This window comes from Homo sapiens, chromosome 2 (genome assembly GCF_000001405.40).
Source record: "Homo sapiens chromosome 2, GRCh38.p14 Primary Assembly".
Classification (NCBI taxonomy): domain Eukaryota; kingdom Metazoa; phylum Chordata; class Mammalia; order Primates; family Hominidae; genus Homo; species Homo sapiens.
The window spans coordinates 30,937,449-30,950,535 of NC_000002.12; the positions used below are offsets into that span (position 1 = coordinate 30,937,449).

At 48.5% G+C, this 13,087-nt stretch overlaps 1 protein-coding gene across 13 annotated transcripts in view; it reads right to left on the reverse strand.

Moving 5' to 3' along the window:
• GALNT14 (polypeptide N-acetylgalactosaminyltransferase 14) overlaps positions 1-13,087 on the reverse strand; it is a 251,659-nt gene that overhangs the window by 50,667 nt on the left and 187,905 nt on the right. For all 13 annotated transcript variants that reach the window (XR_007081588.1, XR_001738943.2, XR_001738941.2 and 10 more), the window contains 3 exons: positions 8,335-8,422; positions 7,410-7,494; positions 4,753-4,856 (listed from right to left, as the gene is read on the reverse strand). Coding sequence is in view for 8 of the 13 variants with exons in the window: in NM_001329097.2 (NP_001316026.1) it covers positions 4,753-4,856; positions 7,410-7,494; positions 8,335-8,422 (277 nt within the window). In the remaining 5 variants the exon portion in view is untranslated. The remainder of the gene's footprint in view (positions 1-4,752; positions 4,857-7,409; positions 7,495-8,334; positions 8,423-13,087) is intronic.

Here is a 13,087-nt window from a genome sequence, read left to right on the forward strand (position 1 = left end):
AATCCACTTTCAAGCCCATTCAGGTTGTTTGCAGAACTCAGTTTTCCTTGGAGTTGCAGGACTGAGGTTCCCTTTTCCACCTGGCTGTCAACTTGGGGCCTCTCTCGGCTACTTCCATGTCGCCCCCTCCAGCAGCCGTGGTCGGTACCTCTCGGGCTTCACATCTCTCTGGTTTCATCTGCTACTTCTCTTCTGCCTCCAGCCTGAGAAAGTTCTCTACTTTTAAGGGCTCAAGTGTTTAAATTGGGTCCACTCAGAAAAGCCAGGATAATCTGCTACCTTCAGGTCACTGATTAATGACCCGAAACGCATCTGGGAAATCCCTTTGCTACCTAAGGTAACATCCTGACAGGTTCCAGGGATTAGGGTGTGGACATCTTTGGGAGGGCTGTTCTCCCTACTATGGGGATCAGTCTCCACTTTAAAGACTTAGGAACAGGCTCAGTGAGGTGAAGTAACTTTCCCAAGGATGCATAGCGATGATTACAGGATTTAAACTCAGGCCTATGAATGCTTAGTGATGATTATAGGATTTAAACTGAGGCTTACCTGATTCCACAGCCCACATTCTTCCCATAACACACCCACCCACCCCCCACCACACACATACTTACACACTCAGGAGAGCCGAGCCTGGCATAGCCTGGTGTCCCTGACTACATTCTGGGACAGCAGGTGGTGGTACTTCCTCTCTGGGCCCCAACTCACCTCTCTCTTCTCGGCAGCCTTTTGTGCCTGCTGTGCTTTGGAAATCCCCCATTTTAAATTCAGGAATCCCATATTCACCCTTCATATATGTGCCAAGGGCTCCTTTTTGGAAATATGCACCGCTTACATACCTACACACACACATACACCCTACACACACACACACACACACAGACTTTATACTAGGGCAACAGATTCCTTTTACACACACACACACACACACACACACTCTCTCTCTCTCTCTCTCTCTCTAACAGACTCCTTTTATCTCTAAAGACCAAAAGCTAAAAGTAGGATGCAGCTCAAAGTAGACACATTACATGTACACTGTGTTATGTAAATTGCAGTTTAAGCATCCAATTTTAATGCAAATCAACTTCTGAAAAAAAATCTAAAAGCCACATTTCCCTAACATCTGCTCATAGGCTGAAATGCACATGTAATGATCAAAACTATTCAGCTCACCTTAGAAATACTTTGGAAATGGTGGCACTGAGGTCAGGGCACGTGAGTGTATGAGACACGGCTTTCACATGGCCATGGCAGCCAATCCATCAGTGGCTGCTTCTAACCCATGAAAACCAAGATGGGGTAGGGCAAGGGCCATGTGCTATTGAGTAGGTCACAGACACTCTGGCCAGAGCCTGTCCCAATCATCTCATGCGTCTTTGTGCTGTGAAATAAAGACAACACAATACATGCAAACATGTCTAGAACACACAGAAATTCTATTACTTAGAAAGGAAAGATGTCTCTACCAGCTGCTATTATTCTCGTATTTAAAGGGAAACCCTTAAACATGTCTCTCTAGGGCTCCATTTAATCCAATGAAACTTATTTTAAATGGAGCCTCATATATATTGCCCTTCCCATCTTGAACCCCATTCCCATTCAGTCTCTGGCTTTTTGAACCCACATTTAGTGAGTAGTTTCTACCACTGCTGGCTCAAGAATGAGAAGTCAAATGAATGATCTTGCCTGTAAGGAGCCCCAGGTTTGGTAGAAGGCTGGGCGGCAGACACAGAAGAAGAAAGAGACAAACACATACAAGGGCTCAGTGCAGTGATGAAGAGAACCTGGTGCTGAAGGGTGCAGAATGAGGGAGAGGGTGGGCCAGAGGTAGGGCAGGGAAAGCTTTCTGGTTCTAGAGGAGGTGGCCCCAGGGCTGAGTCCTGTAGAGGGTCAGCTTCTGCAGCAGAGTAACTTTGGTGGAAAAGGGAAGCTAGGTCCTAATAGTGGGTTGGACTCACTCTGGGAAGAGTGGGAGGTTCTGTTGGTACCTCTGGACCTAAGGCTGAGGCAGGAGCAGGCTGATGAGGCTGGAGAGGCAGGCAAGGCCATGGGAGGGAGGGATCCAGCTGAGGAGTGTGAGTCTCCCCTTAGGACAAAAGGGAGCCACTGAGAATGCCAGGCCCGGAAGGGGTGGGGAGGTTTGCATTTCAAAACAAGCACTTTGGCAGGGGTGTGAGAGCTCAGATTCGATAGTACAATAGAGATGGAGGACCACTGAGGAGAGTATTGGAGCAGATGGAGAGAAGGCGACGGATGTGAGTGATGCTGAGGGCAGTTGATCTGCAGGACTTGGTGACTTGGTGGGTAGGAGGCCCTTCCTGCCACACTCTGGAGCCAGGACTCCTTTCTTCACCCCTTAGTGCCATCTCCCCTTCGCAGCTGGAGCATCACTCGTACACCCCATCCAAATCCCTGATCTTCACGGGGACCCTCTTTCAAATTCCTCCTTCACGCACTCAGGTGCCTTGTTATCCCCACCCGCAGATGTGACACTGTCCACGTGACACAGCCACCACTGGAAAAGCACTGCATTTTCTGGCATATAAAATGCCAAAAAAAAAAAAAAAATCCAGAAATGGCTTTCAAAGTGCTGTTAGCTGGCTATAACATAATGGAATGTTGGGGTGGGATAAAATGAAGTGTTCCCTGTGATAGCTGTTGGCAGTGCTTTTTTTGTGGTTTAAAAATTTTGTGATGGATTGCAAATGTCTCTCCCACACCTCCCAGCACCCTCTCCAACTTCTCTATTCCAATCAGCCCTTGTTGATGCCAAAAGAGTCGGAAGCCAGCTAGATGAGATTGCTACTTGATTTGAGCAGATGTGTGTTAACATTGCTATAAGGAAAGGTATTGCTACCAATACCAAAATGGACCAGACTGTGCCATCCTTGAAATTCATGCTGCCTGAATCCAAATAGAACTTCCATGTGGAAGAAGAATCACTTTGTGCAGTTCAAGAGGGCACTACAAGCCCTGACAGACAGAAGATGGGGTAGCTAGGCTTTGACTTAGAAGAATTCTCTAATAGTTCAACAAAAAATATATCTACAACAGAATATGCCAAACTGTGAAATAGCGAATGCATCATTATAAGAAACATTTCAGCAGAGATTGGATGGCTGCTGTCTATAAGAAATGCTGTAGAGAGGATTCATCTGATGGCTGAGAGAAAGGCTGGAACAAATCACTAACTATAAGAAATACTGAGGTTGTCAAGACATAAAAATGGGCTCCACCCCATAAGAGAGAAGTCCCTACCCCACTGAGAACACCAAAGGTCCACCTGCTCCAAGTTCTCCTGGGCTGGTGGAGGCAGACCCAGCCTCGAACCCCACACCAACAGCCCCCTATCACATTCCAGAAGGCCTTCATGGGCTGGGTCCCAGGGAAGGGATTCGATTTTGTGTGGGTGTTGGGGTGTTTTTCTGTTTTGTTTGCTGGGCATCCAGTCTGGACCCTGTATGGCAGGAGACTGACTTTTCTGATGCATTTCTCTACACTGCCCAGTTTGGGAGAACAGATGCTGTGGGTCAGGCCAGAAGCCATAAATTTCCAGGAAATAACTCTTAGTGACTGAGGGAGAAAGCCATAAAACACCCTGGAGGCAGAAACAGGAGAAAACAATGGCAGCAGACAATGCATGGATTACTGCTAAATGCTGGGATGTGCCCCATGGATCATTCTCTTGGCCTGAGCCCCTGCTCAGAGAGCCTGTGTCAGACATGTGCCACGGTACCCAGAGAGGGAAGGGTCCTGACACTTTGGGAGGCTCCCTTTTACTCTACTGTGATGTGTTCATTCAACAAATAGTTACAGAGGGCCTCCTACCTGGCAGCCACTATGCTAAGCACTGGAGACAGCCAGGAGCAAAATGGACCCCAACCCCTGCCCTCGTGCAGCTTCTATCCTAGTGATCTCCTAGGTCTCACCTGCTGGAGGGAACTGACATGTATTATGCCTGCATGGTGCCAAGATTTTACACATTTACTTCAATGGCTTTTAACAGCCCCAAGAAGTAGAGCTAGTATCCTGACGTTAACACCTTTAATACACAAGGGAAATGAGTATTAAGTATCACTAGCTAGATGGAATGGGTCTTTCTGACTGTGCTGTTTCTCCTGTGGCTGCAAGCCTCAGCTCTATCCCACCATGACCAGATCCAACCATCTGTTTGTACAGTTTTGGGTCCTATAACCCAGCCCCATTCCCTCATCCCTTCCTCTCCCACTATAAGATAAGGGCAAAATATCCCCAGACCCTCCTCATTACCCGAAACTGAGTGCTGCAATCAAAGAAGCCAACAGACTTTAATGGATGTTAATGGATGTCACTGCTGTTCCTGTTCCTCATTCTTTCTCTTCAAGCTCCTTCCAACTGCAAATTTTCAAATGCATCACTCCTTGCTCAAGCCTGTATCTGACCCCTCAGACTTGGTGCTCCTCCTTGGTCTTCCTGGCTGTTGCATCTCAGCTTTCCCCTAACAGTCTGTCAGAGCGTGTTTCCCTGGTTCTCAACATCCATGCAGCCGCCTCATGGAGAGATTCCCTTATTATCAACACCCTCCAACAACTATTCCTTTGGCACCCTACCCGCTTTCCCCCAAAAGAGTAACTCACCATCTCCCAGGACCTCATCCAAAGCACGTGTCACTCTCTGACAGCTTGGTGTTGGATCCAAAACCACAGAGGTCCCCGCCCCAATCCCCAGGGTGTATAGAACAGCATAGGTCAGGATGCAGAGGCAGGGACTCACCAAAGTTCTCCCCACCCCAGATGTCCATGTCCATATCATATTTCCCCAGGTAATCAAACCAAGCTTTGTCGATCACGAAGAGCCCTCCAGCTATGATAGGAGTCCTGTGCATTTGGAAGAAAAAGAGAGGGGATCAGTTCTAGTGGGGAGATCACTCTCAAATTCTTCGGCCCCTTGAGTCTGAAACACCCATTTCCCATTTGGGGAAAGAAAACCCCATTGAGGGAAGAAAACTCTCATTTTCTTCCCATTTCTGTTCCTCTCGAGAAGGGCCAGTATATTTTCCAGTTACCTAAAATGAGAACAAGCTCCAGGGTTTTTCCTGTGATTGTAAATCTCCTGACCTTGCAGACAGGCAAATTCACTCATTAGCATATCTCCCATGGGGACACAGGGCTCACTCAGGACTCCTGCTATTCCGATGACCCAGGGAGCTTCCCCAAGCCTCTTCCACAGGCTCTGCACAGCAGGGCTCTCTTGGGAGCTCTGTTACTGGGAGAAGGGACAGTGGGCTACCGACCACGCAGAGGAGAAGGGCTGAGGCGGCACTTGGTAGCAGCACATCTGTTTCCTGAAACTGGGCTCTCTCTCCTTTTTTTTCCCTCTTTATGCCTCTGTTATGGGTTGAATTCCTTCTTAAAAAGATATGCTGGAGTCCTAACTCCCAGTATCTTAGAATGTGACTGTAATTGGAGACTAAGTCTTTCCAGAGGTAATCAAGTTAAAATGAGGTAATGAGCCCAATATGACTGGTGTCCTTATAAAAAGGGGAAATTTGGACTCAGAGACAGACACACAGAAGGAAGAGAATGTGAAGAGACACAGGGAAGACATGGCCATCTACCGGCCAAGGAGAGAGGCCTAGAACAGCCCTCAGAAGGAAGCAACCCTGTGGACACCTTAATCTCGGACCTCTCCTCCAGAACTGCGGGACGATACATTTCTGTTGTTTAAGCAGCCCCGTGTGTGGTATGCTGTTACAGCAGCCCTAGCAAACTCACACACCCTCATATTTTTTTCCTTTTCTTCGTCCCAGTCCCCAGACTTCTCTGGAGAGATGCCAGAGAAATGCCTGAAAAGGGGCTACCAAGGAAGGCAGGAGGGGAGCAGATTCCAAGCTAATAATCAGTGGCTGGATAGGTGGGCAAGCCCTCAAAGACCTGGCCCCCGTTCAGTGGATCCAGAGGGTGAAGGGAGTTTTCTTCCATATCAAAGAAGTAATTGATGGACAGCTGGTCAGAAGCCCAGGTCTCCTGATGCTGCCACATCCTGCTGTTTTCTGAGAACTGGCTTCATCCTGGGAAACAAGTGCCCTCTGATGAGCAGAGCTATCCCACAAGAAGAGAACCTGTCCTGAGAATGCCACCCCTGCGACAGAGGCAGGAAAACCCCATGGGAGCTGCACAGCATCACCTTGACCCTTTGCTCTTCCCACACCCACACCATGCACTGCCCCTGGTGAGGAGCTGATGTGAGCTGTGTGATGCTCAGCATAATAAGAAGCTCCTCCTCCCTCTCCCTTTAGAAATGAAGGACTTTGTCCTGGGTACCAACTGGCTCCAATTTTCCTCTTGGTATCTCTCCAAATAGAGAAGCCTGGAGGAGCAAGGAGGGGCCATCAGGTAGATGAGACCAAGGTCCTACCCCACAGTAGAGTTCTCAGAGTCCCCACCCCCATTTGGAAGGTCACCATTCACATTCCCATTCTTAGCTCTTGCTAGTCCCTTTATCCTCAATTTGACTTCAGCCAACTCAACAAAAATGATTAAATACTTACTATGTGGCAACACCAGAGACACAGAGATGCCTTTGGCTAGTCCTGGGCATCCCTAATCTGGACTGAGAAATCCAGTGGCCTCTGTATCTATCCATACACTTCTTATCCTCCTGCTGCCCTGCCTGAGGCAGGCTTGTTTTAGCTTAAGTATTCCCAAGAGGCCCGGGACTGGTTTACTGTCCAGTAGGTAGGACACCAAGACCATCACTCTTGAAGCTGAGACCACAGGCTCCTCTGTGTGGTGACCACTATGCTCTACTCTACCCCAAGCCCTCAGTTGGTCCCCAGGCCCCATGCAAAGCCCTAGCCACAATATGCTGTGGGTCACAGTGGGGCCTGGGAGAGAATGTGGGTCAGTACAAAGCCACCCACAGCCTGGCAAAGAGCCAGAGTTCATGCCACTGTCATCTTCCTGCAGAGAACAGGGCAGCTGTGCTTATGAATATGTCACAGTGACCTTCATATTGGCCTCCACTTACAGCAGTGGCTGACTCAACATCTCTGGGCTGAATCCTGATGTCCAAGACCCTGGGACTTTGCTCCTGGCCCTAAGGGACCATCTTTCCCCTCACTAGAGGCCGAATGGGACCACTCAACCAACGTTGGGCTCCGACATTAGCAGGAGGCACAAGGACATCATGGCATGTGTGAGGGTGGGCAGCACACCTCAGCACAGGCCTCTGCTGGCCCCCATCCCCTTAGCAAGAAGTCCCCAAGAGGATAGAAACCTCCTAAAATAAAGGCAAAAGTGGAGATGGCCTGGCAAAGGGCTCCCTTTGTCTGCTTGATGCTTTGACATCTGATATTGAGCACCTCCCTACACTTGACAGGATCCAGTGGTGATGGTCTGCCCACCCCTGCACAGACTCTTCCCACTTACCTGATGGGCTCCGTGGGGTCCAGGCGCCGAGCCTTCTGCTCTGGGGAGAGCTGCTCCCACTGGAAGTGGAGGCTCCAGTCAAACCCTACAACACAGCACCAACCCACCTGCTTTGGTCTCTCAAAAGCACTTGCTCATTCTGCACCCTCTCCAGAAGGTCATGAATGTACCCAGGTCCTGGAGAGGTAGGTCTCAAAGAGGCCGGTCCCTGGGATTGCAGGTTTCCCTAGGCTGATCAGCAGCATGGCTGCCAAAGCGCCGTTCACAGCTTCCTGTTCTTCCTCTACCCACTACCACCTCTCTGAGCCTTCTCTGCTGTGTAGGGTTAGAAATAAAGGGCAGAGGATAAAAAGCCTAGGGGTAGGGGCCGAGGATGACAGGATGGACAGTCATGGAATGTGGGCCTTGGCACTGAGTCTCAGGAAGGTGTGAGCAGGAGGTTTGTGAGAGGCTCTTAAACTACCTGAGTCACCTAAAAGTCATTCTTGAAGTGGGGGCAACAGTGGGCCCTATGTGGAGAGCTGGGGTGGGTCTCCCCAAACATGCTCCCTTCTCTAAGGTCCCTACTCCTGTTAACAGAATAATCACGTCTCTAGGAGAGGGTGGTGCCCACTGCTGGCATCAGAACAATGCAGGCCACATGTAGCTGGGAAATCCTTGCTCCCATCACATTTTTGGACATTAAATGGGGTGAGCCCTATCTTAGAGCTGGAGCTCTGGGTGCTGGGAGCATCCTGCCCACCCCCTAGCCCTTCCATCCACAGTCCTGGTGGTAAGGGCCAAGCTAAGGTAATTATAGTGCAGGTTGCAGGCTGAGCTTTCTCGACAAGCAACTAAGAGCTTTTCCTTCACTCTCCCCACTTAAAAGCAGTGACTGAGAGGAAAAGAAAATCCTTACTGGGGAGGAGGTGTTAGCCCAACTCACCCCCTCTGAGCTCCGAGGCAGACTCGATGTAGGTGAAGGTGTCCAGGTTAATGATATCGATCACAGGGCACACCACCCGCGTGTAGTCCTGTAAGACAACAGACCCGCACTTAGCTTATGGAGAGGAGCCCAGCTGGGAGTCAGGGAGCTTGGGATGGCCTCGTGAGGGTAGGGCCAGAGATGAGTTTTGTGGCCTTCATAGAGCCCTTTCATCTCTGGATCTTAATTTTTCCATCTATAAAAGGGGGTACTGGGCAATGGGACCTCTCCAGTTCTGATGCCTAAAATGCTAAGAGGTTTTCCTTGACTGCTGGGACCTCCCTGCCGCAGTGGCCATCTAAGAAAGGTGGACATGATGGAGGCTGGCTGGAGAGTATTGCACACCCAGAAAGGGGCAATCGAGAAGAAGGGGCTCCAGAAGGCCTTCACCACGAGTGGGGCTCTAGGAGGCAGAGGACATAGTTAGCTGGTGATACGGTTTGGATCTGTGTCCCCAATCAAATCTCATGTCAAATTGCAGTCCCCAGTGTTGGAGGTGGGGCCTGGTGGGAGGTGACTGGATCATAAGGGTGGATTTCTCATGAATGGCTTAACACTATCCCCTTGGTGCTGTTCTGGTGATAGCGAGTATGTTCTTCTTGTGAGATCTGGTTGTTTAAAAGTGTGTGGCACCTCCCCACTCATTTGCTCTGTTGCTCCTGCTCTGGCCATGTGACCAGCCTGCTCCCCCTTCACCTTCTGCCATGATTGTAAGTTTCCTGAGGTCTCCCCCGAAGCTGAACAGATGCCAGCATCATGCTTCCTATACAGCCTGTGGAACCGTAAGCCAATGAAACCTCATTTCTTCTATAAATTACCCAGTCTCTGGTATTTCTTTATAGCAATGTTAGAATGGACTGATACAGCTGGGAAGGTGACCCCAAGACTGCAGCCCCAAGAAGCAAAACCGTACACCCATGGTGCTTCATTCTATGCCTGTGGTTCATGGATAAGTTGATGAATAGCATCTCCCAGAGTCCTAACTTTAATTGTCCCCTGCAGATGAATAGTCACAAATTTGTACCAGGCCCCGACTTCCCTGTTAGCTTCCAGACCCAGATATAATATGCCATTGGCCACCTCCATGTGAATTTCACTCACCTTTCAAAGGTTGACTTCACTGTCTTCTCCCCAAACATGCTCCCTTCCTTAAGTTCCCTATTTCTGTTAACAGAATCATCACCTGTCTTCCCTCCCCGCAGCACTAAATGAAGAAGCTTCACCCAGCCCATCAACCAGACCAAATCCTGCTGGTTCTAACTCCAAAACTGCTCTTTGAGTTCAGCCTGCCTCTTCTCCATCCCCTCAAGCCTGGAGTACTACAATGGACTCCTAAACCCGACCCCACTCTATCTCCTGCTCTTCTCCTTTTATTCTACATATGGCTGCCAAAGTTGTCTTTCTGATTTGCAAATCTGACTCTGCCACTCAGCTGCTAAAAACTTTAACTGCCTCTAAGACAAAGTACAAACTCCTTAGCATAGCATCCCAGACCATCAAGAACAGGCCTATCTCTAGCTTTCCAGCCTCATTACTTGCTACGTCCCTCAGGCCACCCCATCTACGGCATCAAAATCATGCAGGAAACATTTTCAAAATATGCAAGCCTAAGTCACCAGCTTCTTGGAGCCATCGAGCCACTGTACATATATTTTTCAAATTTCTCATTTCTGGGTGAGTAGCCCTGTACCTGATGTGCAGTGAGGAAAACTCCCCACATTGCCCAGAGAGGTGTCAAAGAGCTGTGAACACCGAAACTTTTGGACAGCTAAATGGGAATCAGGCAGCCCATCAAAACCAGCAGGTCCCTGGGAACCAGGCAGGACTGCTTTTCCAATCCTCTGCACCAACCACCCTTTGGCCAGCACAGGCAGGAACCTCTGTTTCTCCTTGAAGCCATTTAATTTCCTGGTTCATTCTTTCCCCCAAATGAGGTTGTCTTCTTATTTTAAACTCTAGATTCACTGAGTGCCTGATTTTAAGTTCACAGACTTAATTTGGCCCTCAGCCTCCCACATGTGACTCATTCTGACAGTAACAAGGTGCCTCTGAAAACCAATTGGCCCACATGGAAAGAAATGCTCATTTTCAATGCATTACTTCTACCTCTGGGATGTCACAGATGGTTCATTCATAGTCAGCACTGCACCTGCCCAGCTGCCACAGTTCCTCTGGGGCTCTTGGGCCACTGTCATTGTGTGTCTGTGGATATGTCAACAGGATACATGGATACATATGGATACATACTGCAGGCACACAAACACCACCATCCACACAAATACCTGGACGTGCACACACAAATACACACACAATTGTTCCTTGAATTCTGAAATGACCTCAGAAGTTCAGAGATATCTTCTGTATGTCTGACAAAGTCTTGGTTTTGCCTTTGCTTTGAGCTTTGGGGCCTCTGCAGCTGTACTAGGTCCTTCTGTGACTCTTATGCAATAAAGGATTAACCATGCCCAAAGATATGTTTGGCCCTTGCCCAGCTCCTGGGAGGTAACCTCTAACCCCTTGGAATGTCCTGCCTAGAAGACTGTCTTTGTTTACCTGGGGCTGTGGGCTACACCAGATAATCTATGCTAACAATGTGGTTTATGGAGAAGACCTTGGGCCGTGTGGTACCAACTCAACTTGACCTCTGAAAAGGCATGGAGACCATGAGGGTAGTTAGCCATGTCTATTTACTGACACCCAATAAAAACCCTGGATATCGAGGCTTGCGGGGAGCTTTACCCTTTGGCAATACTCTGTGATGTTGCCTCACAACCTTGCTAGGAAAAGTAAGTGGTATCTGTACAACCTACTGGGAAAGGACAACTGGAAGCTTGTGCCTGGACTCTTCCTGTGCACCTTTACCCATTGCTGGTTTTAATTTGTATCCTTTCACTGTAGTTAAGCCATAACCATGATTCTAACAGTTTTGCTGAGTTCTCAGTCCTTGTAGCAAGTTATTAAACCTGAGGGTAGTCTTGGGGACCCCCAGACTGCAATCCTGTTTTGCTTTGACTTTAAAAAAAATCTTTCCCCAGTATTTAAAACCTGCAATGGAAAATAAAATGCTGGTTGCTTACTTTGGTCACAGACTTCCCCAGAAGCCATGCATGGGCTCTGTCTCCAGGGCTGCAACAGGCTCTGGTGCACTCCTCCTGTAAGCTCTGAGGGGTTCTGTCCTTCTATTATTCCTGTCATAGCTCACTTGTGGTATCTGCTTGGCTGAGAGTCTTGGAGGCCAGATAGGTAGTGAGGGATATTTGGGTCTAAGTATGTATAAAGCTATGACCTTGAATGGGCCTGCAAGAGGCTTTATAATGAGTCACCAAAGTCAGGACACGACCTCTCTGAGTGCCCTGGGAGGTCAGTACCTGCTCCGCTTTTGTATTCCTCAGCTCTGGCCCAAAGCCTGGTGGGCAGCAGGTGTTCAATCTGTGCTGGCTAAAAGAGGGCATCTATTAGCTCCCTCTAAGGACATTGTGTCAGTGCTGCTAGCAAGCAGGTGGGTCAATTACAGCTGAATAAGATGGCTTCTCCTCCTGTAGGCTAGGGGATGGAGGGACTCTCAATTAAAGCACCGAGGCACACTGAGTTCTCTGTGTGCATGCCCCAGCAGGATGTATCTTTAAAGCAAGGTCCATGCTTAGGCTCAAGCAGGCAGCTGGTGGAACCCTTGCAGATCCTGGACCACACTCCCTCCTCTCCCCTCCTCCAAGCAAATCCAAGTCCCTACTCTCCACCCAACTCCTACCCAACCCTCACCAGGAGCAACTACAAGAGGCTGAATGCATCAGCCCGTGGCCATCTACCACCCCTGCCATCAGGCCTCTCATTTCTCCGCTGAGTCATGTAATTAAAACCACATTGTGAATGGGCAATCAAAAAGCTCCTAGAGATGTCCACTCTTGTGATCAACCAGCACTCCTGAGCACCTACTATGATTTAGGAATCGTGGCAGGTACAAGGATGAGTAAGACCTCACAGTCTAGAGAAGGCGAGGACAGGTGAGTAGATGGTTCTGATGTGGGTATAGATACACAGCCTAGGGGCCTCTAAGCTGGCCTGAAGGGAGGGGTGGGGAACACAGGGAGGAATCCTCAAGGAGGTGACATTGTGGGGAAAGACAAGGACAGCTGGGTTGACAGGACACCTGGGTTCCCATTCTGATTCTGCCATCTAGAATATGTGTGACCTGAACTAAATCAGCCAGCTCTGGGGACTCGGTTTTTCATCTATAAAAGAAAGACAAATTATTATTTGCAAAACTATCCTGCCTCTCTAACTGGGCTTTTGTGAGGAAACAAGAGAGAAAGGCATGTGATAAGACTTTGAAGAATATGTAAGCTATGATTTATATAAATTTACCAAATGCTTTGCAGAGATTGGAGTTTCTTAAAATCTTTTTTTTCCCACTAAAGAACTACGTGGATAAGGAGACTGAAAAAAAAATAAGCTTATGTTTAAAAAAAAACCCCAACTTGGTACTTGTTTCAAGTATCATCATGTAATTGAAAGGAAAAGAAGGAAAATTGGGGAGGTTTTCAATGTGGAAAACACCAGCTGAGGACAGCGGATGACAGCTGAAGCCCAGTCTCTTTCTTATCTCTTTCTATTTTTGAAAATCCCAAACTCCAATTACAGCTTAAAATTTCCACTTCCACTCACAGGATCAAATCATGTCCTACTCTGAGACAAGACACATACAAAGACACCAGGA